This window comes from Homo sapiens, chromosome 7 (assembly GCF_000001405.40).
Source record: "Homo sapiens chromosome 7, GRCh38.p14 Primary Assembly".
Lineage (NCBI taxonomy): Eukaryota > Metazoa > Chordata > Mammalia > Primates > Hominidae > Homo > Homo sapiens.
In genome coordinates, this window is record NC_000007.14 from 99,009,558 (window position 1) to 99,036,569 (window position 27,012).

The 27,012-nt window shown below is 46.8% G+C and overlaps 2 protein-coding genes and 1 long non-coding RNA gene across 11 annotated transcripts in view, besides 1 other annotated feature; 2 read left to right on the forward strand and 1 right to left on the reverse strand.

Annotated features, from left to right (window-relative positions):
• The window catches only part of TRRAP (transformation/transcription domain associated protein), a 134,710-nt gene extending 131,026 nt beyond the window's left edge, over window positions 1–3,684 (forward strand). For all 3 annotated transcript variants that reach the window (NM_001375524.1, NM_001244580.2, NM_003496.4), the window contains 3 exons: window positions 1,495–1,698; window positions 1,784–1,978; window positions 2,514–3,684. In NM_001375524.1, coding sequence (NP_001362453.1) covers window positions 1,495–1,698; window positions 1,784–1,978; window positions 2,514–2,798 — 684 coding nt within the window. In that variant the 3' untranslated portion in view covers window positions 2,799–3,684. The remainder of the gene's footprint in view (window positions 1–1,494; window positions 1,699–1,783; window positions 1,979–2,513) is intronic.
• LOC101927550 (uncharacterized) lies at window positions 3,608–26,935 on the forward strand. The gene is made up of 6 exons (NR_110102.1): window positions 3,608–5,398; window positions 21,038–21,200; window positions 21,328–21,443; window positions 21,788–21,908; window positions 23,337–23,482; window positions 25,860–26,935. It is a non-coding gene; the product is annotated as an uncharacterized LOC101927550 (long non-coding RNA).
• The window catches only part of SMURF1 (SMAD specific E3 ubiquitin protein ligase 1), a 116,669-nt gene continuing 107,539 nt past the window's right edge, over window positions 17,883–27,012 (reverse strand). For 5 of the 7 annotated variants that reach the window (NM_181349.3, NM_020429.3, XM_047420637.1 and 2 more), the window contains 3 exons: window positions 25,958–26,159; window positions 23,480–23,564; window positions 17,883–21,126 (listed from right to left, as the gene is read on the reverse strand). In NM_181349.3, the coding sequence (NP_851994.1) occupies window positions 21,027–21,126; window positions 23,480–23,564; window positions 25,958–26,159 (387 nt within the window). In that variant the 3' untranslated portion in view covers window positions 17,883–21,026. The remainder of the gene's footprint in view (window positions 21,127–23,479; window positions 23,565–25,957; window positions 26,160–27,012) is intronic. The other 2 variants (NM_001199847.2, XM_017012457.2) reach the window with 1 other exon arrangement.
• Window positions 24,579–25,079: an enhancer, noted in NCBI's record as "H3K4me1 hESC enhancer chr7:98631759-98632259 (GRCh37/hg19 assembly coordinates)". NCBI's record gives its function as "activates a minimal SCP1, AML or CMV promoter by ChIP-STARR-seq in naive H9 embryonic stem cells {active_cell/tissue: H9 hESC(naive)}" and the evidence as "EXISTENCE:reporter gene assay evidence [ECO:0000049][PMID:30033119]".

Consider the following 27,012-nt stretch of genomic DNA (forward strand, 5'->3'; position numbering starts at 1 on the left):
AGGGCTTTTTTGTGGCACAGGCCATGGCCTGGTCATTCTGTGGATGATGGGCAGTTCTGAGGTATTTGCAGGAGAGGAATGGATTATATTCTTAAGGCGACATTAACTTTCGACAGCGTGGAAGCCAGTGACAAATACATGCTGACCTCAGAGTCATCCTGTTTCTAAACAGCGTGAGTGACCGACTAGGCAGTTTGTTCCAGCTTAGCAGCTGCCAGGGCCTATAGGCAGAGGGAGATGCCCACAGCACAGAGGAATCCAGCTTCAGAGCCGCTTCCTCCTCTTGTTTATTTTGTTATTTATTCTACTCCTTCATTCTTCTCTTTTTTTTTTTTTTTTTTTTTTTTTAGATAGAGTTTCGCTGTTGTTGCCCAGGCTGGAGTGCAATGGCGCGATCTCGGCTCACCGCATCCTCCGCCTCCTGGGTTCAAGCGATTCTTCTGCCTCAGCCTCCTGAGTAGCTGGGATTATAGGTGCCTGTGACCACACCTGGCTAATTTTTGTATTTTTAGGAGAGATGGGGTTTCACCATGTTGGCCAGGCTGGTCTTGAACTCCTGACCTCGTGATCCACCCACCTCGGCCTCCCAAAGCGCTGGGATTACAGGCGTGAGCCACCACGCCCAGCCCAGGCTTTTTTGTTTTGTTTTGTTTTTTAACTAAATAAAAAAGCTCCTCCAGACTGTTGTAAGCCTTTAATTTCTAGAGTTCTGACAAAGTTGATTTTGATGGTTTTGCCAGCATTCTCACTGCTTAAGGAGCAGATTTTGGAACTCCTTTGCAGTCTCAGAAGTGCTTCTTCCCATTTGACGGATGAGGAAACAAACAAACTGCATGTGTCGCCGGTGGCCTCCCTTGTTCTTGCCGGCAGAAGGGCCTGCTTTCTCACAGCCATTCCCACAGAGCACGTGGGTAGGACTAAGCTGGGAAAAGACCCCGTAGATGGCCTGTACCAGATGGTCGAACGGGAAGTCCATTAACTGAGTGAACTCTTACTGAGTTGGTGATGTCTGCAGTAGTCTATGAGTCTCTAGTACAGAGTTCAGTCTCTCGTGTGGTGTGTGTGGTTAGACCAGCTCCTTCAGTTTGTGAAACATCTGTCATTAGTATAAAGTCTTGGTTGGAAGTGGTGCTGCTGTTGTCCAGCTGTTGTGTTCTGTTAATTGGCCTGATATATTCCATAGTCAGCAAGGGTGGAAATGTTCAGATATTTACCTGCATTCTTGTCAGGTATCGCATATTAGGTAACTGCAGCTTTGACGCAGACCAGCCGCATTGGTGCTTTAGAGCAGACAGTGGCGAACCCTGGAGGGAAACAGCCATCTTGTGCCTCCTCGCCTTCAGTCTCCTAACAATGCGTGCGTTAAATCTGTCACCAGAATTTACAGAATTTGCTCTTGGTGCTAAGTTAAAGAGGAATTGCAATTTGAGAATTTTTCTTTTCCAAAAAAAATCAGTGAGTGAGATGGGAGTGTCACGGAGCGCTGTGTTTCAGGTCCTCCGCGACATCCTCAAGGAGGTTCAGAGTAACATGGTGCCGCGCAGCATGCTCAAGGAGTGGGCGCTGCACACCTTCCCCAATGCCACGGACTACTGGACGTTCCGGAAGATGTTCACCATCCAGCTGGCTCTGATAGGCTTCGCGGAATTCGTCCTGCATTTAAATAGACTCAACCCCGAGATGTTACAGATCGCTCAGGTAACCTGCTTTGAACAGCCAGATCCTCTCCTCGTGACATCGCCTTTCTGCTGAAGTTCCTAAAGTGTCTCCTTCTGAAATTTAGGACACTGGCAAACTGAATGTTGCCTACTTTCGATTTGACATAAACGACGCGACTGGAGACCTGGATGCCAACCGTCCTGTCCCATTTCGACTCACGCCCAACATTTCTGAGTTTCTGACCACCATCGGGGTCTCCGGCCCGTTGACAGCGTCCATGATTGCGGTCGCCCGGTGCTTCGCCCAGCCAAACTTTAAGGTGGGTCTCCACGTCGTCCTATCACAGGCGCAGGCTAGAGCCACTCAGATGCCCGCGCGTCACGGCCTTGCAGGAGCTGCTGATGTGCCTCACGGGCTCTGCGCTCTCCACAGTGGCCAGCACCCCTGTGTGTTATGTCCTTTGCTGTGAGGGCAAGGGATGGTTTTCTCTTTGGTTCACTCTTGTCTGTAGTGCTTGGAACGGGCCTGCCTGACACTCGGCAGATGCCGGAAGGTGTCAAGTGAACAAATAAACAGATTGGGCCTCAGTCGCAGCATGGCTGCCTTTGTCATCTAGGTCCGCGCTGCCCAACACTGAGGCCTTCTGGCTGCTGCTCCAAGTGGAGGAAGGGGTTTGTCCCCCAGCGGCTTCCCCAGCCCGTCCTGAGGGCACACAGCCTGGCCTGGTGCTGAAACTCGACTGGCCCTTGGTGGCCCTGAGCGGCCGCTGTGGTTGAGTCCCACCTTGTTAGGAAGCTGCCCCTGTGGGCTGTTCTTGGTTAAACACAAGTCGTCTCGTTCTCTCCCTCACGCAGGTGGATGGCATTCTGAAAACGGTTCTCCGGGACGAGATCATTGCTTGGCACAAAAAAACACAAGAGGACACGTCCTCTCCTCTCTCGGCCGCCGGGCAGCCAGAGAACATGGACAGCCAGCAACTGGTGTCCCTGGTTCAGAAAGCCGTCACCGCCATCATGACCCGCCTGCACAACCTCGCCCAGTTCGAAGGCGGGGAAAGCAAGGTGAACACCCTGGTGGCCGCGGCAAACAGCCTGGACAATCTGTGCCGCATGGACCCCGCCTGGCACCCCTGGCTGTGACTGTGGCCGCCACGGCCACCCGGAATGTGAAGGGCGCTCCGGGCTCTGAGCCCGCAGCTTTTACGACTTCTCCCTGCCTCGTTCCTTATATTCACAGAAGCCCCATAGTTTCACTGGGTTGCGGTTATTTTCCTGGTAGTTTGCGTGTAAGAAAGGGAGAATATAGTTTTAGAGGAAGCTGAACTATGACGATGCTGGGCGAAGCGGTTGGAAATGGCAGAGCTGAAACTTATTCCAAGCTTTCAAAATAATCTTTTAAGAAGCCAGGATTCTCCGGTCTGGAATTTCTGAGTGAGTCCTTTTTTTATGGTGTCCTCCCTCTGTGAATGTACAGGCGGAACTGTACGAACAGCTCCCTTCCATCCATTTTTAACTCTTTCGGAAATAACACCTCACAGCAGCTTCGTGCTTTTGTACAGACCTTTGTAACAAGTGTACAGAAAACTCATTTTGTTTGAGAAACAGGAGTTGATGAACCCATCATGCTGGTTTTTCTCTGAGCACAAAGTTTTAGGCTGTACACAGCCAGCCTTGGGAATCTCGTTGAGCGTTCGGCGTGGATCCACGGGGCCAGGCCACCCTGCGGGAGCGCCACACGCATCCACTTCGGATTCAGTGGGTGAAGACAGAACTCTGAGAGTCTGCAGGCGGCTCCTGTGCTTTTTATTTCTGGCTCTTCGGATGTCTTCTAGACATTTACTATCACTGCACCTGAAGAAAAAATCACTTTTACCTTCCTAATTTAAAAAGACAAAACAGAAATGTACGTTCCTTCGCTAGCTTTAGTCTTTCTGTTCCCATTTTTATAAATCTGAGCATTGATAATGTTCTATCTAAATTTGTACAGTGTGATTTTTTTTTTTAGAATAAATATTTTATAAAAGGGTTTATTGTCCCTTGTTTATGTTAAAATGCTTGTTTCCATGAGGGGTTTCTTCCCTCTCAATGTCCCTAGCCCCTTGGGAACCAGAGGCCCCAGAGACAGTGTGGGCTCCTCAGCGTAGCCTCTTGGTGACAGCGTGCGCTGCCTGGGCAGGCACAGTGCTGCTGTGATCACAGGGGAGGCCATGACTTGGCACCTGGGAAGCCAGCTCAGAGCATATTCAGTCAAGTTGATGAGGAATGGCGGCCCGACCTCAGCAGCAGGTCGGCGTGCGGGACTCTCAGAATGGCGGCCTGATCTCAGCAGCGGGTCGGCATGCCAGACTCTCGGAGCCCTCAGCTATCTTCATGTGTTTCAGGACTGCTGCCATGTAACGTGTGTGTGTGGAGAGTGTGCGGAGTGTACACGAAGCATGCCCGGAGGCTCAGCATGAAGCACTCTGTACCCAGCTCTACCTCCTCATTGTCCTTCATCCAGTGTGTACCTTCAGCCAGGCCTGCCCTCGTGTGGGAGGGGCAGTCCCCAAGGAGCACACGCCATGATGTCAGAAACATCTTCTTCGAGGAAGATGGCCCTTTACAGGCCCCAGGGGACGGGGGCAGCACGGAGCCCTCTCTGGACCTCTGCCGCAGGCCACAGAACCTTCTCCAGCCCTTGACTCTCCTTGCCTTTCATTTACCCTCCATTGTTCCAGGCTACCACGGAATGATGATTACAGCTGAGTTTACCCAAATCCCACCACAGGGTCAAATGAAAGGGCCTTGACAAGATGTCCCTTGGCAGCTTGAGATCGCAGTTGTGTTGCTGGGTTATGGCCTGGGTGCAGGCTGGTTTGCAGTGGGCGGTACTGGCAGCTACCATCAAGGTCTCTGTGCTGGGCTCCAGCCCTCAGCCCAGAGGGGTGGTTCCCCACTTTATAGAGAGGGGGTTTCCAGCTCACAGAAGGTGAGAAGCTTGTCCCAGGCCTGGAGCAGCTGTGGAGAAACTGGGAGGGAAGCCCGTCCAGCCTGATTCCAAGCCCACATGCTGCTCACAGGTCAAGGCCGAGGGACTGATTTTTGCCGGTCTGACTGGACTCAAGTTACTTCCCAGTTCCTTGCAGAGAGCTGTCTTTGTGAGACAGTGTCTTGGGTTCTGGAATGATGGGAGCCGTGCTTTGCAAATGAGGAGTGATTGCGTGCTCATCTGGCAGCTGGTGGGTGTCCTGCTGGCATCAGGCCTGAGCGGTGACCGTGCTCCTCTGATTGTCCTCACTGCGTGTGACAAGGCCTGGGCCACTGTGTGAGTCGTCTTGCGCTCCATGAAGCCTGGTGTCTGTGCAGATGTGTGGGTGGCGTTAGGGTTGGGGGACATTTGTCTTTCACACTGGAGAATGGGAGTCTGGAGCTGGTGCTACTGGTGAGGAAGAGGCCCGGCCTGCTGCCAGGTTCGCCCACACCTTCCCCCTGGTTGTTGGGAAAACCAACCTTGGAATGGCCAAGGCAGGAGATAGCACCTCCCCGGTGAAGATCCAGGAGCTCTCATGAGCTCCACGTGGAAAGATCAAGGATCTGGAGTCTGGAGCCCTTCAGGCAGCAACTCAGTGACCATGAACCTCAGCTCTGTCCACCCGGCACAGCATTGCTGGGAGCTGGACCCGGGAGGCTGCCGGCTCCAGAGTGAGGAGGGTCCAGACCATGCAGACAATATGCCCTTTTTCTCCAAACACCATTTCAAGGTAAGTGCTATGATCAGACTTCTTTTTATTCTTGGGGTAAGATATGTATAACATCAAATTTACCATTTTGATGAATTTTAAGTGCACAGTTGAGTGGCATTATGCACCTTCGTTGTGCAGCAATCACCAGCATCCATCTCCAGAACTTTTACATCTTCCCATCTGGAAAAATCTGTCCTCATTAAACACTCAATCCCCATCAGCCCTCCCCTCCGCCCCTGCCAACTACCATTCTAATTTCTGTCTCTGTGAATTTGATGACTCTAGGGACCTCATGTAAGTGGAATCATACAATATTTGTCTTTTTCTGACTGTTTTTTGTTTGTTTTTGTTTTGAGACGGAGTTTCACTGTCGTGACCCAGGCTGGAGTGCAGTGGCACGATCTCGGCTCACCGCAACCTCCGCCTTCCAGGTTCAAGCGATTCTCCTGCCTCAGCTTCCTGAGTAACTGGGATTTCAGGCCCCCGCCACCACACCCGGCTAATTTTTGTATTTTTAGTAGAGACAGGGTTTCACCATGTTGGCCAGGCTGGTCTTGAACTACTGACCTCAGGCGATCCACCCACTTCAGCCTCCCAAAGTGTTGGGATTACAGGCATGAGCCGCAGCACCCAGGCTTTTGTGACTGTTTTATTTCGCTTAGCATAATGACCTCAAGGTTCATCCATGCTGCAGCGTGTCAGACTCTCCTTACTTTTTTAAGGCTGAATTGCATTGCGTTGCCTGTGTGGACATTTTGTTTGTTCGTTCATCTGCTGATGGGTACTTGGCTTCTCTCTCTTTTGTCCACTATGAATAATGCTCCTCTGAACATAGGCATACAAATATTTGTTCAATTTCCTACTTTTAGTTCTTTGGTTATCTACCCAGAAGTAGGCTTGCTGGATCATATAGGAATTCTATCTTTCATTATTTGAGGAACTGCCATGCTGTTTTCCATAGCAGCTGTATCATTTTACGTTCCCACCAGCAATAGGTAAGGTTTTCTGTGTCTTCACGTTCTTGCCAACACTTGCAATGTTCTGTTTTTTTGTTTGGTGGTGGTGGTTGTTGTTTTGAGATGGAGTCTCGCTCTGTCACCCAGGCTGGAATGCAGTGACACGATCTCAGCTCACTGCAAGCTCTGCCTCCCGGGTTCATGCCATTCTCCTGCTTCAGCCTCCCGAGTAGCTGGGACTACAGGTGCCCGCCACCACGCCTGGCTAATTTTTTGTATTTTTAGTAGAGATGGGGTTTCACCTTGTTAGCCAGGATGGTCTAGATCTCCTGACCTCGTGTGATCCGCCCACCTCGGCCTCCCAGAGTGCTGGGATTACAGGCGTGAGCCACCGCGCCCAGCTGGGTTTTTTTTTTTTTTTTTTTTTTATGACATCCATCCTAATGGGCATGAAGTGGTACTTCACTGTGGTTTTGATTTGCATTTCCCTAGTGATGAGTGAAGTTGAGCAGCTTTTCATATGCTTGTGAGCCAGTCATATATCTTCTTTGGAGATGTGTCAATTCTAGTCCGTTACCCGTTTTTCAATTGAGTTGTTTTTGTTGTTGAGTTACAGTTCTTTATATAGTCTGGATAGTAATCCCTTGGAGATAGATGGTTTACAAATAATGTCTAATATTGTGTGAGTTGCCTTTTCACTCTGTCGATAGTGTCATTTGATGCACAAAAGTTTTTAATTTTGATGCAGTTCAATTTATTTTTCCTTTGCCTTTCATGTAATGTCAAAAAATCATTGCCAAATCTAATCTCATGAAGCTTTTCTCCTATGTAGTCTTCTAAGAGTTTTATAGTTTTAACACTTACTTTAGATCTTTGGTCCACTTTGAAGTTAATTTGTGTATATGCTATAAGCTGAGGGCCCAACTGAATTCTTTTGCTTGTGGATATCTGGTTTTTCCAACATAATTTTGTTGAGAAGACGATCCTGTTGGAAAGGGTGTTGGCGTCCCAAAATCAGTTGACGCATATGGTGTGGAGAGTTGATTTCTGGGCTCTCTGTTCTGTTCAGTTGGTCTCTCTGTCTGTCTTTATGCCACCACTACAATGTTTTGCTTACTGTAGCTTTTTAGTAAGATTTGAAACCAGGAAGTGTAAGTTCTCTTAGTTTGTGCTTCTCTTTCAAGATTGTTCTGGATTTGGGGTCCCCTGCAATTTCATACAAATTTGAGGATTTATTTTTCTGTTTCTGCTAAAATGTTGGGATTTTTTCTTTCTTTCTTTCTTTTTTTTTTGAGACGGAGTCTTGCTGTGTCGCCCAGGCTGGAGTGCAGTGGCGCCATCTCGGCTCAGTGCAACCTCCACCTCTTGGGTTCAAGCGATTCTCCTGCCTCAGCCTCCCAAGTAGCTGGGATTACAGGCGCATGCCACCACGCCCAGCTAGTTTTTGTATTTTTGTAGAGATGGAGTTTCACCATGTTGGCCAGGCTGGTCTTGAACCCCTGACCTCAGGTGATCCACCCGCCTTGGCCTCCCAAAGTGCCGGGATTGCAGGCGTGAGCCACTGCGCCCAGCCCAATGTTGGGATTTTGATAGTGATTGTATTGCATCTATAGATCACTTTGAGTAGTAATGACATCTTAACAATATTTTGGCCAGGTGTGTTGGCTCACACCTGTAATCTCAGCACTTTGGGAGGCTGAGGCAGGAGGATTGCTTGAGGCCAGGAGCTTGAGACCAGCCTGGGCAACATAGTGAGACCTCATCTCTACCAAAAATATAAAAATTAGCTGGGTGTGTTGGTGTGTGCTTGTAGTCACAGCTACATGGAAGGCTGAGCAAGGAGGATCACTTGACCCCAGAAGTTGGAGGCTGCAGTGAGCTATGATTGTAGCACTGTACTCCAGCCTGGATGGGAGAACATCTCAAAAAAAAATGAAAAATTAAAAATACAATATAGTATGTCTTTTATTCCATAAGCTTGGAATGTCTTTTTTTTTTTTTTTGAGACAGAGTCTCGCTCTGTCACCCAGGCTGGGCTGCAGTGGCAGGATCTCTGCTCACTCTAAGCTCCACCTCCTGGGTTCACGCTATTCTGCCTCAGCCTCCCGAGTAGCTGGGACTACAGGTGCCCGCCACCACGCCCGGCTAATTTTTTGTATTTTTAGTAGAGACGGGGTTTCACCGTGTTAGCCAGGATGGTCTTGATCTCCTGACCTCGTGATCCGCCCACCTTGGCCTCCCAAAGTGCTGGGATTACAGGCGTGAGCCACCATGCCCGGCCCGTCTTCTATAATTTCTTTAATGAATGATTTACAGTTTTCAGTATACAAGTATTTGACTTTGTTGGTTAAGTGTGTTCCTGTTTATTCTTTTTAATGCCGCTGTAAATGGAATTGTTTTCTTAAGTTCCTCTTTGGATTATTTATTGTTAGTGTATAGAAACACAGCTGATTTTTGTATGTTGATTTTTGTATCCTACAATTTTGCTAAATATGTTTATTCTAATAGTTTGTTTTCGTTAGACTTTTCTATAATCATGTCATCTGTAAACAGATAATTTTACCTCTTCCTTTTCAATTTGGATTTTTTTTCCCCATTTGCCTAATTATTCTGGCTGGAATTTCCACTTCTGTGTTGAGTACAAGTGGCAAAAAACGGTCACCTTTGTCTCATTCCTTATCTTAGAGGAAGCCCTGTCAGTCTTTCACCATTGAGTATGATCTTAGCTCTGGGTTTTGCATAATGGCCTTTATTATGTTGAGGTGTTTTCCTTCTATTCCTAGTTTGCTGGAAGAAGTTATTATCTGAAAAGGTGATACATCTTGTCAAATGCTTTTCTGTATCAGTTAAAATGATTTTGTGGTTTTTCCTCTTTATCCTGTTCATTTGTTGAATTATCCTTGCACATCCCAGGAATAAATCCCAATTTATCATGGTATATAGTCCTTTTAATATGCTGTTGGATTTGGTTTGCTAGTATTTTGTTGAAAATCTTTGCATCAGTATTCATAGGGGCCATTAGTTTGTAGTTTTCTCCTGGTGCCTGGCTTTGGTATCAGGGTAATATTCAAGGTCATGTTATAAAGCCTTGATCCTACATCCTAGCTCTGCTCTCAACAAAGTCATCCTGCCTCTTGAGAGCATAGACATGGAAAAAAATCGGCACACACAAAAAATATGTATACATATATATCTGTATATGATCATCAGGTAAAAATCAGAAGACAAGGATGCTATGGCTTCCTGAGGGAGCTGCAGTGCTTATGGTGGTGGAAGGGAAGATGAAAGAACAAACGAGAGAGTTTCAAAAGAGCATGTTTTAAAAAAGTCATTGGCCGGGTGCGGTGGCCCATGCCTGTAATCCCAGCACTTTTGGAGGCCAAGGCGGGCAGATCACCTAAGGTCAGGAGTTCGAGACCGGCCTGGCCAACCATGGTGAAACTCCCTCTTTACTAAAAATACAAAAATTAGACAAGCGTCGTGGCAGGCGCCTGTAGTCCCAGCTACTCGGGAGGCTGAGACAGGAGAATCAATTGAACCCGGGAGGCGGAGGTTGCAGTGAGCCGAGACCATGTCATTTGCACTCCAGCCTGGGCGACAAGAGCAAAACCCTGTCTCAAAAAAAAAGAAAAGTGATCAAGGTAGTAGACACGGTAGATGTGGGCACACAGATAGGCTTACCAACTTGTTTAAAGCCCCAACTACCTAGTGATGACACTGAGATCAAAACCTGAAAATACTCCGACTTTTGACAGTAGAAAATGCCCCAACAAGCCAGACACACGTTCCCTAACCTAGAGTGCTGCATCCTCTCACAGACATCAGAGCGCAGGACTGTGTCTGCTGGCTAAGCTTACAGACACACACTGCATTCTAGTGACTGTGCCAGGGTGAGAAATAAAAAAAGATATAAGAGTGACATCCAGCAAGGGGACAGAAGAGGAAGGAATCTCTCTCCGCACCGAGACAAAAATTGGAGTGGCAGAATCTGTCTGAGGTAACCGTTTTGGAACTCTGGAGTCTAATTTGGATGCTTGCAACTTCCAAGGAAAATCTTGGCTGGTAAGTTGCAGTTAATTTCGGTCAATTTCAGCCTTTAGGATATTAGCGTCTCCCCATCCTGAGTCTTGTGGTAGGCAGCCATGCCCGTGTTCCTGGCATGACTTCCTGGAGCCAGGGTGAAAAGTAAGGATCTGGCCTCCACGTATCAAGGTTCAGTGTTTTGATTGCAGAAGTGCAAACATAGAGGTGGGTAGCCATTGTTGCATTCCCCACTGGCTGAAGTGGCTTCCAGAGGATTTAAGGGAACAGCCTGAGCTATTGTTTTTCTTCTTACCTGTTTTTCCATTTGGGGAGCCAGACTTAAGGATGAGGATATTGAAAAGCACATGTGCGGACAACTTACTTGGGCCTCCTGCCAACAGCCAGTAAGATGCCAGGTCCCTCCATCACAAAGTCACATGAAAATGAATTCTGCCAACAACCTGGAGGAGCCTGCAAGAAGATTCTCCCTGGTTGAGCCGAGAGATGAGAATACAGTCTGGCTGACACCTTGATCGCAGCCTTGTGAGTCCCTGAGCAGAGAAATCAACTGTGAAATAAATGTGTATACAGGGCAATTTAGAAAGCCACTCCACATACCTAGAGAAATATGCAGGCTCAGAAGAGACCTGGGAAGACTTTAAGCTTTCACCTCAAGCTGATCCTGAGATACCCTCAACAGTTGGTGTGGGGAGACGAGTAAATGCTTGGGGGGGAAAAAAGGAGAATCTGATTTCCAGAGTTATAAGATTCAAATGTCCAGTTTTGAACAAGAAACAATCACAAGACCCTCAAAGAAATAGAAAAGTATGGCACGTTCAAAGAAACAAATCAACAGAAACCATCACTGAGGAAGCGCTGACAGCAGACTTACTAGACAGTAACTTTAAAACAACTGTTTGAAAGATGCTGAAGGAGCTAAAGGAAAACAAAGACAGGAGAACAGTATATGAACAAAATGAGAATATCAATAAATAGAAATTTTATAAAGGAAGCAAATTCTGGAACTATAAAAAGTACAATAACTGAAATGAAAAATTCCCTAAAGGGTTCAAAATATTTAAGCAGGTAGAAGAACCACTCAATGAGCTTGAAGATAGGGCAATTGAAACTGTTGAATCTGGGGAATCAAAAGAAAAAAAATGAAGAAAGTAAATGAAAACCTAAGGAACCTACCTATGGAATGCCATAAATGAGACCAGAAGTAGAGAGGCAAGGGCAGAAAGTATATTTAAAGAAAGTTCAACAGAAAACTGCTCATATTTGATTAAAAAAAAAATGTATCTACAAACCCAATTAGCATAACAAACTCTGGATAGGATAAGCTCAAGGAAACACACACCAAGACACTTCATTGAAGACAAAAGAAAACCTTGAAAGCAGCAAGAGAGAAGTAATTTATCACATACAAGAGATTCTCAAGATTATCAGCATATTTTTCATCAGAAACTTTGGGAATCAGAAGAGAATGGGCTCATATATGAAAACTGCTGAAAGAAAGAAAACCTGTTAGAATTCTACATCTAACAACTGTCCTTTAGAAATGAGGAAGAAATTAATACCTTCCCAGATAAAAGCTGAGGGAGTTCATTATCATTCTTTGCAAGAAATGCTAGAAGGAGTCTTTCAGGTTGAAACGCTGAACACTATAAACTTCTTTAAAAGAACACTAAGCATCTTACAACTTGAAGTTGTAAGAAGAAATAGAGATCTCCAGTAAAGGTAAATACATGGACAGTTATAAAATCTAGTATATTCTAATGATGGTTTGTAACTCTTTTTATTTTCTACATGATTAAAAAGACAGATCCATTAACAACTGCTAATATTGGGTGCACAACGTATAAAGATGTAATTTGTGATGTCAGTAACAGTAAGGGAGACAGCAGTACAGGAGCAGAGTTCTGTATGTTATTCAAATTAGGTTGATATAAATTCGATTTAGGTTGTTGTAATGTTAGGATGTCAAGTGTAATCCCCGTGTCACTATAAAAAATGAACTAAACACGAAAGGCAGTAATGGAGGAAATGAGGAACCAAAAAAAAAAAAAAGTTTAAATGGCAGAAGTAAGTCCCTTCTTATCAGTAAGTACTTTAAATGTAAAATGGATTGAATTCTCCAATCAAGAGAGATTGGAGATGGCAGACCAGGAAGCTCCAGGCCCACATTTCCCCAAGGAAACATTGAGGGGAAAAAAAAACAACTAGGCACTCACTAGGAGCTCTGGGAACCAGCCAAAGGTCTATAGCAACCAGCTGAACACCCAATCAAGAAAAAGCCACATTGAAAATAGTTTTTATGTCATTTTTATTTGCCCTTCCCCCATTCCTCCCTGGCACAACTGGGTGTTTGGGAGGAAGCAGCCCAATTTCCAGTGTCTTCCCTTGCACCGGAGGGAGCAGAGCAGAACTGATTTGCAGTGTTCTGCCCTGTCTTTGGGCTACCTGAAGGACTGGTTTCTATGTCATCTGACTCAGAGGTGAAACAGGGAAGGTGGCATAGTTCAGATCTCAGGCTGGCAAGAGCCATGGAAGGCAGTGGCAGGTACGACATGTAAAATCTGCCAGGGGCACCACAGTGGATACCTGGGGCAAGAGATTATGGGCAGAAAATATAAGAGAACATCTTATTCCTAAGAAGCAGCTGGGTTAAGACCCTTTGAAAAATTAAGACTTTTTTTTTTTTTTTGAGACGGAGTCTCGCTCTTTTGCCTAGGCAGGAGTGCAGTGGCGCGATCTTGGCTCACTGCAAGCTCCACCTCCCGGGTTCGTGCCATTCTCCTGCCTCAGCCTCCAGAGTAGCTGGGACTACAGGCGCCCGCCACCACACCCAGTTAATTTTTTGTATTTTTAGTAGAGACGGGGTTTCACTGTGTTAGCCAGGATGGTCTCGATCTCCTGACCTCGTGATCTGCCTGCCTCGGCCTCCCAAAGTGCTGGGATTACAGGCGTGAGCCACCGCGCCTGGCTAAAAATTAAGACTTTGAAAAGCAGCCATGTATATGGTATAAACGAAAGAAAAACAGAGGCCCCTAAAAGACCTGAGATGACCTTAAGCTGTCGCCTCAGGCTGATAGCAACTATTACGATATACCCTCTGAATTAGTGAAGCTTTTCCCCACCACTCTTCAAAGACTGGAAGAGATGACTGCTTTTGCGAATGCCCAGTTTAAAAAAAAAAAAAAAAATCACAAGGAATACAAAGAAACAGGAAAACATGTCCCATTCAAAGGAACAAAATATATCTCTAGAAACCATCCCTGAAGAAACAAAGGCATCAGACTTGTTAGAAAAGACTTTAAAACAGTTGTCTTGAATATGCCCAGAGATCTATGGGAGAACACGACAAAGGCCTAAAGGAGATCAGGATAGTGATGTATGAACAAAATGAGAATATCAACCAAAAATAGAAATTATCTAAAAGAACCAAATTCTGGCACTGAAAAATACAATAAATGAAGTATTCAATACAGTGGTTCAACACCAGACTCAAACAGGCAAAAGAAAGAATCAGACACCTTAGAAAACTGATCATTTGAAATCACTGAACTGGACGAGCAAAGAGAAAAAATGAAGAGAGCTCAAGGGATTTATGGAACACATCAAGGTGTCCGATTTAGGACAGGTCCAATTTAGGAAATTCCAGAAAGAGAAGAAAGGAAGAGGACAGAGCTTATTTGAAAAAATAATGGACAAAACTTTCTCAAATTGGAAGAAAGAAATGGACATACAAATTTAAGAAGCTTGACAAATTTCAGCTAGGATAAACCCAGAGAGGCTCACAGCAAAGGCGAAGGGTGAAATAGCTCCACTATAATAGTAGAAAGCTTCAGTACCCCACTTTTTTTTTTTTTTTTTTTTTGAGATAGAGTCTTGCTCTGTCACCCAGGCTGGAGTGCAGTGGTGCAATCTTGGCTCACTACAACCTCTGCCTTCCAGGTTCAACTGATTCTCCTGCCTCAGCCTCCAGGGTAGCTGGGATTGCAGGCATGTGCCACCACACTTGGCTAATTTTTGTATTTTTATTAGAGACGGGGTTTCGCTGGTCTCAAACTCCTGACCTCAAGTGAACGCCTGCCTCAGCCTCCCAAAGTGCTGGGATTACAGGCATGAGCCACTGTGCGCAGCCCAATACCCCACTTTCAATAAATTATTAATAGAACAACTAGACAGAGGATCAATAAGGAAATACAGGACTTGAACAACACTGTAGACCAACTGGACCTAACAGACATACACAAACACTCCACCCAACAGCAGAGTACACATTCTTCTCAAATACACATGGAACATTCATTCTCCAGAATAGACTGTCTCCAGAGAGGTCATAAAACAAGTCTCAATAAATTTAAGAAGACTGAAGTCACACAAAGTATTTTCTCTGACCACAACAGAATGAAGCTAAAAATCAGTAACAGAAGGAAACTGGGAAATTCATAAATATGTGGAAATGAAACAAGATGCTTTCAAACAACCAGTGGGTCAAAGAATAAATCACAAGGGAAATTAGAAAATATCTTGAGACAAATGAAAACACAACATACCAAAACTTATGGAATGCAGCGAAAGCAGTGCTAAGAAGGATTATTCACCATGACCAAGGAAACTTATGGCTGTAAATCTTTATATTAAAAAGAAGGTTAAAAATGAACAACTTACATTATACCTGAAGGAATTAGGAAAAAAAGAACAAACTAAACCCAAAGCTAACAGAAGAAAATAAATACTATAGCAGAGGAAATAAAAGACAAATGACAAAAATCAGTGAAGCTAAGAGTTGGTTCTTCAAAAAGATCAACAAGATTGACAAAACTTTAGATGATTAAGAAGGAAGAATCAGCTAAAAGGAAAGAGGGGACATTATTACCAATGTTACAGAAATATAAAGGATCGTAGAGTATCATGAACAACTGTATGCCAACAAATTGAATAACCTAGATGAAATGGATTCCTAGAACTCTACAACCTACCAAGACCGAATCATAAAGAAACAAAATCTGAATAGACTGATAACTAGTAAGAAGATTGAATCAAAAATCTAAAACGTCCCAACAAAGAAAAGCTCAAGACCAGATGGCTTCACTGGTGAATTCTAGCAAACATTTAAAGCAGAATTAATGCCAGTCTTTCTCAAACTCTTCCAAATAGTTGAAAAGGAAAGAATGCTTCCTAACTTATTCTATGAGACTAGCATTACGGTGATTTTTGAAAGCCAGACAAAAACACTACAAGAAAACTATAGACCAATATCTGTTATGAATATAGATGTAAAAATCCTCAACAAAATATTAGCAAATTGAATCCAACAGCATTTTTTTTTTTTTGGAGACGGAGTCTTGATCTGTCACCCAGGCTGGAGTACAGTGCCGCAGTCTTGGCTCACTGCAACCTCCACCTCCCAGGTTTAAGCGATTCTCCTGCCTTAGCCTCCTGAGTAGCTGGGACTACAGTCGTGTGCCACCATACCAGGCTAATTTTTGTATTTTTAGTACAGATAAGGTTTCACTGTGTTGGCCAGGCTGGTCTCGAACTCCTGACCTCGTGATCCACCCACCTCGGCCTCCCAAAGTGCTGGGGTTACAGGCATGAGCCACAACGCCCGGCCCCAAGACCATATTAAAAGAATTATTCACCACAACCAAGTGGAATTTATCCCAGGAAGGGAAAGGTGGCCCAACATAAGAAAAATCAATCAATGTAACACATCACATTAATAGAACACAGGGAAAAAAACATGTACATCTCAACTGATACAGAAGGGCATTTTACTTATAAACATTCCCTCTGAGATCAGGAACAAGAAAAAAATTCCCACTTTTACCACAGCTATTCAACATTGTACTGGAAAGTATAAGCCAGAGCTAATAGATAAAAAATAAAAGGCATCCAAGTTGGAAGGAAAAGGTAAAGCTATCTCCTACAGATAGAAAATTGCAAAGAATTCACAAGAAAGCCACTAGAGCCAGGAAACGAATTTTTGCAGTTTTAGGGTACAAGATTGACACACAAATGCAGTTATGTTTCTATATACTAGCAATGAATGTCCACAAAAGAGCTTAAGAAAGCAATTATGTTTATAATAGCATCTAAAAGAATAAAGCTAACCATGCAGGTGCAAGACTTGCCAGTTGTCTGCCGAAAACAAAATATTGTATAAAGAAGTTAAAGAAAACTTAAGTAAATTGAAAAGACATCCCATGTTCATAGATTGGAAGACTTAACTTTGTTAAGATGTCAGTAATGCCAGGTGCAGTGGCTCATGCCTGTAATCCCAGCACTGTGGAAGGTGGAGGTGGGTGGAGGAGTTTGAGACCAGCCTGGGCAACATGGTAAAACCTCATCTCTACTGAAAATACAAAAATTAGCCGGGCATGTTGGCGCATTCCTGTAGTCCCAGCTACTCGGGAGGCTGAGGCGGGAGAATCGCTTGAACCCAGGAGGCGAAGGTTGCAGTGAGCCAAGATTGTGTCACTGCACTCTAACCTGGGTGACAGAGTGAGACTCTTTTTTTTAAAAAAAAAAAAAAAGTCATCCTCCTGTATACTTTAAATCATCTCTAGATTGTTTATAATTTCTAATACAATATAAATGCCATGTAAGTAGTTTTTATTCTGTATGGTTTAGGGAATAATGAAAAGAAAAAAAAATCTATTCATGTTCTGATGCAACCATCCATTTAAAAAAAAAATTTTTTTTTTTTTTTTTTTTGAGACAGTCTTGCTGTGTTGCCTAGGCTGGAGTGCAGTAGCGTGATCTCAGCTCACTGCAAACTCCACCTCCCAGGTTCAAGCAATTCTCATGCCTCAGCCTCCCAAGAAGCTGGGACTGGTCTCCAGCTCCTGACCGCACCCAGCCAAAAAAATATTTTTGATCCCCAGTTGGATCCATATATGTGGAACCCACTGGTATGTAGGGCTGACAGTATTTTTACTACAACTTTTTAAAAAAGTAAGGGCTGGGCACAGTAGCTCATGCCTGTAATCCCGGCACTTTGGGAGGCCGAGGCGGGCGGATCACCTGAGGTTGGGAGTTTGAGACCAGCTTGACCAACATGGAGAAACCCCATCTCTACTAAAAATACAAAATTAGCCGGGCGTGGTGGCGCAAGCCTGTAATCCCAGCTACTCGGGAGGCTGAGGCAGGAGAATTGCTTGAACCTGGGAGGTGGAGGTTGCAGTGAGCCGAGATTGCGCCACTGCACTCCAGCCTGGGCAACAAGAGCAAAACTCCATCTCAAAAAAATAAAAAAAAAAGGAAAAAACGAAAAGATAACCGGTGCGCAAAGAAATTCTAAATTTTCTCAATCCCATGTTTTTTCCCGATAGAGCACTTTCAGCCCACTACCATATTGCCATTAGTTTCCCTTACAATTCTATCCTTATCTCTGTCCTTCTTCCTTGGAAGGCCCTTGCCAGTATTCCTGCTGCCTACACACTTCCTTTCTTGTGGGTTTGCAAAGACACTAGAATCTCATTTCCACACCAAAATAACAGACGCCAAAAATGTAAAGTCGTGAGTTTATTGCATATGTAACAAAATGAACCTGACCTCCTGGGCCCAGCCTGCTGTACAATCACTGTTTGTTTTGTGTTTCCAGCTGGTTCCATAACCACATTAAATAGAACTAGTATTTCATTAAATACTTTTGATTTTGACATAGAACATTAGTGTACAACTTTCACAAAATAAATCAGTGATAAAAACAGTGGGAAGGATAACAAGGATAGCAGCAATACTTCAAAACAAGACATTACAAAATAAATTAAAAAATACGTTATAAAGTGGTTGAGAAACAAAAATAAACACATTTTTAAAATCCATACTATGTTTCGGGAAGGCTGCCGTGTGGCACACACCTGGCTGCAGATGGCGGGTGGGGGGACATTTTCTCTGCAGAAGGCCTTTCCTGACATCTCGGGTTGGGTGACCACCTTAATCTGAATTTGGACCATACGTCCGAACAAGCTCAGGGGTCGAAATTCGATCTGGTGGCAGATTCTCTTTTCAGAACTTGAGAGAGCCCTTTTCCGGTCGCCCCGGGCCTCCCAGGCAGCCTCAGCTCTTCCTACTGAAAGCACTGGCGGAGTGGTGTTAGCTACATCCCTGAGTGTCGGCTGACGGCCGCTGGTGAGGGCAAGCCTGAAAAGCCGGGCCCCTGAAGCATCTGGGCAGAGGGGCAGGGGGCATGGCTGGATCGCCTGGGACCACCGAGAGGGGCAACACAGATCACACGTGAGTGGGCTTCGCGCGGACCCAAAGTAGAACAGTCGGGAAGCTTTTACCATTTGCTTTGCCATGTTGAGTTCTTTGGGGTGGTTCAAAAGGACCAAACAAACCATCGTAGAAACTGAAGGTTCTAGGAGTGCAGTGCCACCGACAGGGAGGCCTGTTTGGAAAGAGTGAACCGGAGCTCTGGAAAGGTCTGCGACACTCACACAACCGATGACAAGGCGGCAAACCCACACGCAGGTAGAAGTGGAAAAGCAGAGACGGAGGCCAGGATGGGAACGCGTGTGTCCACCGGGGTCACCTGTGGAGGACCCGGGACCCAGCCCTCTGGCTCTGGGCTGAAGCAACACCCGGCACGAGAGGCAGGGCAGCACCAACCAGCATGGGGATGGCGGTGCAGCTGCTAAGGCTCGCCCCCGACTCCTCCCAACAGCAAAAAGGTAGTTTTAAAGGCGTCAAATGCAACATTCCTGCTTCAAAGTCTTTTAAACCATGAGACCCTGGTTTCCTTCCTAGTTACTGAAGATTTTGGATACCACCACCAGGAAAATCAGGTGGGGCCTCTGACCTCATCCCGGAGGCCGCTTCAGTTCTCGAATGGATGTCTCTTCCGCCTCCCGCGGGTTAGGCTCGTGATAGAGAGTGGGCTGTCCGGGGGAGGTCTGTAGTTTTCACTTCCTCACCTTCAAGAGGAAGATGATGCAAGGAAAGGCTGGATACAGCCACTGGGGAACGGGCTTCTAGAACACCCTCAGGAAGCATCATGGTGAATGAGACACAGGATGTGCCCACCTGTGGGGGCAAGGCAGAACTTTTCAAAGAGGCTAAGCCCACCATTTGGCCTGGACTTTTGGAATGGGGGATTAAACTTTCCTCCTGCAGCAAACCTCATTTGGCAGCCCTTCTATTCTAGAACCTCAGCAGCCCAGAAATTAACAGTGACAAAAAGAACAGATAAAACCATTGTCCACAAGGTCCTTCCCAGGCCATCTCAGACCCACAGCGGGATCCCAGAGACTTCGACAGCAGTGAAATGTCTTGCTCATGAATTACCCTGTACTTGCCCCCACCCCAAACAAAAACAACAACAAAGAAACCACATAGGAACATTGGCCTGCTGTTTTCTGCCCAAGTTCAGCTATTGGAAATCAAGCCACTTTAAGATAAAATACTGACTTTTGTGCAAACTGGAAATGGTGTCAGAAACTTCGAATCTAGCCTTGCTTCTGGCCTTGCTCATCATATGAAGACATCTGGGCAAGTGAACCGAGTAGCAATCGTTAGTGTCACCAGCTGCCACTGGGAAAGGGGCCACATGAGGCAGTGAGTGTGAAGTCGTCCCCCTCTGCTGTCACAGGTTTGCGTCCACACCCTACTTTTTGTAGAACAGTATCTTTGGGTGGATTTACATCATCGAGGTTATCCTTTCACCATTGCTTTTAAGCGAGTTCACACCAAGCCAGCAGCTATGATGACACAATTTTGTTAGTTTAGCTCTTAGCAGTTGCTGCATCATGGTTTACTAATATTTTAAGTGACACAGTCGATGCTCTTCTATGGACAACAGTGGCACAGAGGTCACAGCTTTGGGACTGACTGGTTGGCTCTAGGGCTGATTTTGGTCTGCTCTTTCCTACACTCCATGACATGGTGTTTTCACTGAAAAAAAAGTCAAACTGGACAGATAATGCAGCAAAAGGGACCCTTAAAAGATCGTTTTTCTCTATGTAAAACAAAATTTTCAGCCAAGATACCCAGAAAAGAAATATCCTGGGCCTCCAGGAAAAGCTGCTCCAATTCCTTCTCCTTTCAAAGGGGAAACACATTTTGACTCAAGCTTCCTGCTGTGGCAGAATTCCAATAAGCATACATTATATAGTTATTTTCCAGTTGGAAATTGATCTGCTACCCAGAACCGGCTGCTGGGATGTGAAATCTGGAATCTGAGCTCTGATAAGATATCTAGCAGCTGCTCAAATTGAAAAGGGGCCTCAAGGCTGTTTTGAGATGGAATAGCTGGCATAGCCACCAGTTCCAAACCCTCAATCAGCCACGCCCAGTCCCCTAACTGTGAGTTGATGCTCCCGTAAAGAGCTCAGGGCTGTGAGCCTTATCACCACATGGGTTGCAACACAGCAGAATATCCTGTGTGACCAAAGCCAAAGGCTAAACCTGGCTGCATTTTATTGGATGGGTGATGGAAGTGGGTGGGAGTACTATGGTAAAGGAGGGATATATGGGTGGGAGCCACCAACAAAAGTCCCCCATCCCCCTCCCCCAACAGAAAGGAGAGAGACAACCCTTTCCCCTCAGGTGATCTGGAATTCCAGGGCCTCTGCCAGCTTTGCAGGAGGTGCACAGAAGCTGGATGCTTTTGGTCTGGTGGCCATGAGCTAGACTCTGTTGCCTTTGGTTGCTTTTCACTCCACAGCAAACCCGCAGGTCTCCTCCACGGCTGTCAGCAGCTTCTCGTAGAGCTTCTCATAGGACTCATATGGTGGAATGTCGATCCGGTTAAAGCTGAAAAAGGACAAAAGAGAGTCACCGTGTGGGCAGTCCAGCCCTAGGACCAACCTCAAGGCCAAGGACAGGCAGTGAGAAGTATATGTGGGAGGGGAGAGGAATGGGGGGTGGGGCAGGGTTGGTGATGAGTTCTCCATGTCCCCTGTGTTTTTCTGCTTCTAATACAAAGATTTGTAATTTGTTTTTGCTTTTTGGTAGAGACAGGGTCTCGCTAGGTTGCCCAGGCTGCTCTCAAACTCCTGGCCTCAAGTGAACCTCCTGCCTTGCCCTCTCAACGTGCTGGGAGCCACTGTGCCCAATCAACACACAGTAAAGTAAGTCTTGGGCCTTCACAACCAAAACATAACCAAGTTACTATTTACTGCTTCTATCAGGACAAAGCTCTCCACTTGTTTTCTGTTTGTCTGTCTTTGGGAGAAATTCTTTCTCTGTACTGGGAATGCCTCTTTGGCAGCCCCTGTAACCTAGACTGGCTGTCAGGCAACGTCACCACTAACGATGTACTGCGTGTCTGTCTGTTCCTCTGGGACTTGATCTGAGACCAAAACAGGGCAGTCTGGAAAATTCCCTGCAAAAACAAAATAGATCTCAAAACTAACAAGATGACAGATCCTTAAAAGATGAAATGAATATTCAACTTCTGACTCGATATTTCCAGGGGGAAGCTCATTTCCAGTATTTGTGCAAAGAAAAAGACATCCTTTAAGAAGCTATCGTAGCAAACCAAAAAATACAAAATTGTGACCCAGAGGATGTACAGTGACTTCTGGCTTTCTAGGGTAAGCAATTAAGGATGGTTTCTGTCTCTACAGAGCTGGGTTCCAGGGCGGGCACTCTTTTTTCTGGAGCTTCAGAGCATACTTTCCACATCCATCTAACTCCAAGCACTAAACTACTAAAGGACAAAAGCCTTGTGAGTAGGGTGTGCAGCCAACATGGTGCGTTCCCGTAATGGACGCCACAGCCATGCTTGGAGCAGGACCTTGGCACCCACCATGGTCCAGGACCAGCTGCATTACCCCATTTCACAGGTGTGGAAAACCAAGTTAGAATATGAAGTCACTTGCCCCAAATCACATGTCAGAGGGTGTCACAGCTAGCATCTGACCCCGCATCCTTGGGTTCCAAGACAGGAACCTTCCATCATCTCACGGGGCATCTCAGCAGCATCTAGAACTGGTTCCCCCAAGGAAATGTGGCTACTCGTCTCAATGGATGGTTCCAGGACAAAGTGTACGCAAGTGATTGTATTTGTAAACCATACAGGAAATAATCTACTATGGAGACTCGTTTTTAAGTTAAAATTTAGGAAGAAAACATTTGCAATAGACAAGGTACGTGTGTCATAAGCAGGATTCCAAGAAGATGGGGACCCAGAAATGTCAGATAAAGTGAAGCCCAATACATCCAAACTAAAAACTATACAATTTTCCTTACCAACAGGTGTGTGTACATAAGACCTGGCAGAGAGGAAGACTTGAGCCTGCTGGAGTGGTAGCCACACTCCACTGAAACACCAATATTAATTAATTACATGGCTCATAACAAAATTAGTTTCATAAGAGACTCTGACAACCTTTGTGTGGGACGCTGCAAAGTACTTGTCCCATCTGACACAAGCACTACTGCCAGTCATTGAGAATTGGCATAAATGAAACAGAGTCCTACAAATCGGAAAACAGCTTTAAAAAATAACATGAGGCCGGGCTTGGTGGCTCACGCCTGTAATCTCAGCACTTTGGGAGGCCGAGGTGGGCAGATCACCTGAGGCCAGGAGTTCCAGACTAGCCTGGCCAACATGGCAAAACCCCATCTCTACTAAAAATACAAAAATTAGCCAAGTGTGGTGGCGTGCGCCTGTAGTCCCAGCTACTCAGGAGGCTGAGGCATGAGAATTGCTTGAACCCAGGAGGCAGAGGTTGCAGTGAGCCGAGATCGTGCCACTGCACTCCATCCTGAGTGACAAAGCAAGACTGTCTCAAAAACAAAAAACTAAATCAAGAGAAAATCTATATTTAAATTTTAGGTTATATATACTGTAAGAAAGATGTATGTTAAGTTTAGCAATAATGTTGGCCCTCTTACAGGTATTTTTTTACATGGCCAGTAAAGCCGCTCTATACAGTGTCGTAATGTCGGGGGGAAAGTCTCTTGCTTGAGGGCTTCAGAATTGTCATTCAACTCTAGAATTTCTCCTTCTGTCTCAGGTGCTGTGGCTTTTGAGTTCTGATGATGACAAAAATATTTTGGCAGAGACTCCATCTCAAAAAAAAACAACAAAAAAAAAACGTGAACGTCAGCATCCTCTGGGGCTCCCAGGACGCCGTGACTTCCTGGCCGCGGTGCTTACCAGGTATGGGCCTTCGGAAGGTTGTCTGTGTTCGCGTCTATCAGGTGGATGGTGAACAGCCGGGGCCCTGCCGCGCCTGTAGAACCTTACAAGACAACATTCTAGTTAATGTACTTCAGAGTTACAGCCGTGGCGCTTCCCGGCCACACAGCCCCCAGGAGCAGGGCCCTGACCACATTCCCACCCCCACACCCAGGCAGGCTGTCCTGTGAGAGGGCCATGAGGTTCCCAGGCCTGGTTTTAGGACATGCCTGCAATGGCTATCAAAGTGACAAAATTCAGACACTTTTTTGAGACAGGGTCTCACTCTGTTGCTCAGGCTGGAGTGCAGTGGGGCAGTCTCGGCTCACTGCAACATCTGACTGCCGGGTTCAAGCAATTCTCCTGCCTCCCGAGTAGCTGGGATAACAGGTACATGCCACCACGCCTGGCTAATTGTTGTATTTTTAGTAGAGACGGGGTTTTGCCATGTTTCCCAGGCTGGTCTGGAACTCCTGGATCACCTCAGGTGATCCACCTGCCTCGGCCTCCCAGAGTGCTGGGATTACAGGCGTGAGCCACCACACTCAGCCAAGATGCCAACATTTTAGAATATCGCAGGGGGCAGAGCAAGGACTGCTAAGGCCCCCCCTAAAGTGCACCCTGACCATGGGCCTGCTCCAGACAGGCTCCCTGAGGGTCAGAGCTATTTGTACCCACCCTCTGGAATAGACGACTTGCCCACCAGTTCTGTAGGGCAGGGAGAGGCACCAGGCCCCTTCTTGCTCAGGTGTTTCCAAACTCAGCCCCAAGTGAGCACCAGGCTGGCCAGCAGCCACCACTGCTGCTGCAAAGACGGCTAGCTGACAGGGGTGCCAGGTGCTGGGAAAGGAGGGCGCAGAGGGCACGGGCCTTGGCTCTGCTGCCCCTTGCTCCTGTGTATTCACAGATACTCCTTTCAAGCTGGGCCAAGGTCAGTGGCAGGACAGGACTCCGGGAGCAATGAGGACCAGCAGAGACACCATCTTTATGTTGGGCAGAGGGTCTCAGTGTGCAGCCCCTGGTTTCTGGGGTCCTGGGACAGGAAGCTGGCTCCTCCCCCTCACAGGCCACACCCTCCAAGCCCCAGCCTCCTGGGGAGTCAGGACAGGCTGGGCCAGGTGAGGGCCTTCAGAGACCTCCTGCAGGGCCCTGGCCACTCTGCCCGGGCCACCATTCAGTGCCCTCCCACAGCACCAGCACTCCCTGTTCGGGACTGTGACCCTGGTCACCTCTGACCCACCTTCTAGACACTTGGAGGACACTGGGCTAAAGTCTATCCAATTATTGGAGGACTAATGAGACCCTTACAATGACAGGGACTATCTCTAAGCAGGAAGGTTTAGCATGTGGACCTGCTGTGGGCAAGACAATGGCGCCATGAGAAAAGTGACTTGGTCAGGAAGCCTGGATTCCTGCCCTGCCTCCCCACTCACACCTCCTGTTTTTTTTCCTCGGGGGGATAATAAATCCCATGACCTCAGTGAGTCTCGGCTTCCTCATCCATGGAATGGGGCTAATAATCCCCATCAGCCAGGCTCTCGGGGTTGTTGGGAGAACTGAATGAGAAAGGCTTTGTAAATGACAGGCACCAGCAAGCTCTGGGAGCAGCTGTCATGGTCAGGCAGACAGAGGCTCCCAGATACGAGCGGGGCTCAGCCTCAAACCCCTTTTTATCCATGCTGGGCCCCCAGCAGCAAATCTATAGGCAGAGGTCACAATGGAAAAGATGCAGGTGCCCTGATGGCCAAAGCCGACTGAAATGGAATTAACCTCATTTTACTCAGCGAGGCAGAGGGAATATTCTGTGTTTACAATGTGTCTGTGTGTCTATCAGCATTTACAGTCCAATCAGCTAAATTTCAGTATGGTGACACCCTTCACTCACCTCACTCCTTCCAGCAACGTACCCTCCAAACCCTAAGTGTAAAAGATGAGACATTAGGCCGCCTGCCCTACAGGCAGATGGGCACCTTTCGCACAGAATTCCACCCCACTTCCGGCGACCTCAGTGGCTTAAACAGAGTGAGCAGGACATCATCTTTCGGTGTGGTTGGTGGCTAAACGGGTTCATGTGCAGCTCCAAGCTTTGGAGCCACTGAGACTGGGGGCGGTTCCCCCATAGCTCCCTCCCCGGGATCTTGGCTAAGCTGGCCTCACAGACACTCTGAAGGCCCCTGCTGTCCAGACCCTCTTGGCTTTTTGGAAGCAGTGAGGAGGGGGAATCCAGGTGCCCTGGAGTGGCTCCACAGTCTTTGCTCAGCGGGGCCCCACACCTGCTCACACACGGCCCCTGCCAGGTAACCACCTCTGTAGGGCAGAGCATTAGCTACTGGAGAACATTCCTTATGCCATTTTCTAGCACACATCTCAGAAAAACATCCCAGCCACCTTCCAGCTCTTCCTGCCCACAGCGCACATAGACGCGTCATCGAATAGCCCTGCCTCCACGTCAGTCACCTTGCAAAGCCTTGAAGCCTTGGAGCGGGACTCGCGTGGACCCAGTCACAAACTGCAGGAGCCTGGCCCTCCTTTCTTCATCGAACGTCTCCACCGCTTGCCAGAACCACCGCACGATGTTGCTGTCGGCCACACAGTGCTTCAGCCGCGTGTTCGACTTCCAGTCGTTCAAGTCTATTTTATCCAGGCCGCCTATGATCAGCTGAGGAGGTGCAGAAAGGTGAATTACTTCCAAAATGCATAAACCCACGTCAGGATGCGCCTCCTAGGTACCCGACACACAACAGTGAAAAGTCGATTCCCAAGCAAAGCAGCAGCTGTGTACTAGGCAGATGTTGAGACAGGAAGAAAGCTACAAACAGGAGGCCTGTGGCACATGCTTCCGTCCGCCTCCTCCAAACGGGTCTCCAACCCCAAGGACCGCGGTGCACAGCTGTTGATGGGATGTTATTTTATAACCAAAGCGGGGTTTTTGCTCTGCATCGGTGAGGAGTATCAAAGAACCAACCGGTGACACTGAACAGAGCTAACCATGAATAACGGCACGTCCCAGGGTCTCTCCAGGACACTCAAGGACATGTGGAGTTTCAAGTCTGAAGAGAGGAGAATTCAGCAAGAGTTAGGTGGGGCTGGGGCCGATAGGGCATGTTTCCGCAATTGGCTTAAAAAGTTCAACCCCTGCTGGGTGCAGTGGCTCACGCCTGTAGTCCCAGCACTTTGTGGGGGCCGAAGTTGGGCAGATCACTTGAGCCCAGGAGTTCAAGGCCAGCCTGGGCAACATGGCAAAACCCCGTCTCTACAACAAATACAAAAATTAGCCAGGCATGATGACGTGCACCTGTAGCCTCAGCTACTCGGGAGGCGGAGGTGGGAGGATGGCTTCAGCCTGGGAGGTCGAGGCTGCAGTGAGCCATGATCGCACCACTGCACTCCAGCCTGAGCAACAGAGCGAGACCGTGTCTCAAAAAAAAAAAAAAAAAAAACCACAAAAGTTCACCCCAGAACTACTGCTCCATCCAAGCTCTTGGCTCCCAAGCTCTCCTCACTGGCAGCAG